This window comes from Homo sapiens, chromosome 3, assembly GCF_000001405.40.
Source record: "Homo sapiens chromosome 3, GRCh38.p14 Primary Assembly".
NCBI classification, from domain to species: Eukaryota; Metazoa; Chordata; class Mammalia; order Primates; family Hominidae; genus Homo; species Homo sapiens.
In genome coordinates this window covers 74,135,707-74,137,892 of record NC_000003.12, presented here as the reverse complement: position 1 = coordinate 74,137,892, position 2,186 = coordinate 74,135,707, and the positions used below count along the sequence as shown (strand labels likewise).

Here is a 2,186-nt window from a genome sequence, read left to right as displayed (position 1 = left end):
TTGCAAAATATTTATAATAATCATGCCTGAAAATGTTGAACATAGTTAAGATTCTTACTCAATAGAGTAATAATTTGAGAAATAAGAGAGAAGAAGTATTCAATCAGAAAAGCAATCTTGAACTGTAAACGCTATTTAAAAACAAATAATTGTTTTATCTCTGAGTGGTAAGACTCAGCAAACTCTCTTGACTAAGTGACCCTTTGTCAGTTATGGATCTATTGCAGATTAAAATTAGCGTCATCAGAATTTGGGAAATCTAAGCATTAATTATATGGCAGAATACATTGAGATTTTTTTTTTTTCACCAAAGCACTTTTTACTTGAGGCAAAGAGAAGTCTTGCTGAAGGGATTACAGTTCCAAGCAGTCAAAACTCAACCATTGGCAAGGTGCAGTGGCTCACGCCTGTAATCCTAGCACTTTGGGAGGCTGAGGTAGGAGGATCACGAGGTCAGGAGATGGAGACCATCCTGGCTAACATGGTGAAACCCCGTCTCTACTAAAACTACAAAAAATTAGCTCGGCATGGTGGCAGGCGCCTGTAGTCCTAGCTACTCAGGAGGCTGAGGCAGGAGAATGGCATGAACCTGGGAGGCAGAGCTTGCAGTGAGCCAAGATTGCACCACTGCCCTCCAGCCTGGGCAACAGAACGAGACTCCGTCTCAAAAAAAAAAAAAAAAAAAAAAAAACCTTAACTGTTAGTGGCACTATTTTGACCTGGTATATTTTTCTTCCCTTTGGTCAGAAAAGGGTATTCAGGTTATACTTTCCCCAGTGGGGCAAAAAGAACAAAGCAAACTAGAAGAGACTTCTACTCTACTGACACTGCTCTTCAGATCCAACATCAACCTAGACAAGCCCTTGCTGGCCACTCTACAGGTTGCTGTCCAACTGCTCAGTGACACAGGCCAGGCCATACTACATTTGCAAGAAAAAAATGAGATTGGAAACACAGGTATATGTCACTTGGGGATGAGCAGGCACCCGCAGCTTCAAAACTTCATGGAAGGGGTAGTCCTTGTGGGAGGAACAGCTCACCAAGGCACAGACCCTCCAGTTCCTGTTGTAGCTGAGTAAGGTGGTCATATCCTGGCTGCTTAGTTCAAAGTCAAAGACCTTAAAGTTCTCAGCAATGCATTCTGGTGTCACAGACTTGGGGATCACCTCCAAGTTCCTCTGCCTGGGGGAAGTGGATCAGAATCTGGGCTGTGGTTTTATTGTGCTTGGCTGTGATCACCTTGATCCTGGGATCCTCCAGGATAGAAGGGGCCTCAGGCTTGGCCCAGGGTTTAACAGGAGAGCCAAGGGGGCTATAGGTGGTCACCAAGATGCCTTTGGACTGGCAGTACTGGATTAACTTCTGAGTGAGGTACAGGTGGAACTCAATCTGGTTAACTGCCGGCTTATACCTTAAGCCAGGTTTCTTTAAGATCCTCTCCACCTGGAGATGATTACAGTTGGAGATGCCAATAGCTTTCACCAGCCCTTCATCCACCAGCTCTTCCATGGCTGCCCATGTGTTCACAATGTTGGTGTCACTGGGATCCACGTTGTCTGACTCATCCAATGGGAAAAATTCCTTTCCAGGCTTAAAGTCGGTCAGCCAGTGAATAAGGTGGAGGTCCAGGTAGTCCAGCTTCAGGTTGCTGAGCGTCTTCTGGCAGGCTCCTTTCACCAGGACCTTCTTATGGTATGTGCACCACCCCTTGCTGATGAGCCTCATGCTTCACCACCTGCTCCCTAAGCTGCTTCTGAATGGCCACCCCTACCTCGTTCTTATTCTGGTGCATGTAGGCACAGTCAATATGGCAGTACCTGACATCGATCGCCACCTTCACAGCCTTGGTTACCTAGCCAGGAGGGGACTTCCAGGTGCCAAGCCCCAGGATGGGCATCTTGGTGCTGTCGGTGAGGACAAGGTGGCTCGCCATGGCTGCCGCACTCCCCAGACCCCCGCCCGGAACCATACATTGAAATGTTTAATATCTAAGTTATCAGGAAAACCCAAGAGGTAATTAGTAATGCAAAGTTTGGGGAAAGTTTTCATTTGAATACAAATATTGTTATTGTTATCTTTAAGTCATGGTTCCTCAAAATTGGCTGCATATTGGAACCACTTGGGTTTTAAAAATACTGATAATTGAGATACATCATATAGAGTACTGCCTGTACTGGGGAGGGTGT

The 2,186-nt window shown here is 45.7% G+C and overlaps 1 pseudogene; it reads right to left on the bottom strand.

The window, feature by feature from the left end:
- On the bottom strand, nt 305-1,966 carry AKR1B1P2 (aldo-keto reductase family 1 member B1 pseudogene 2; annotated as a pseudogene).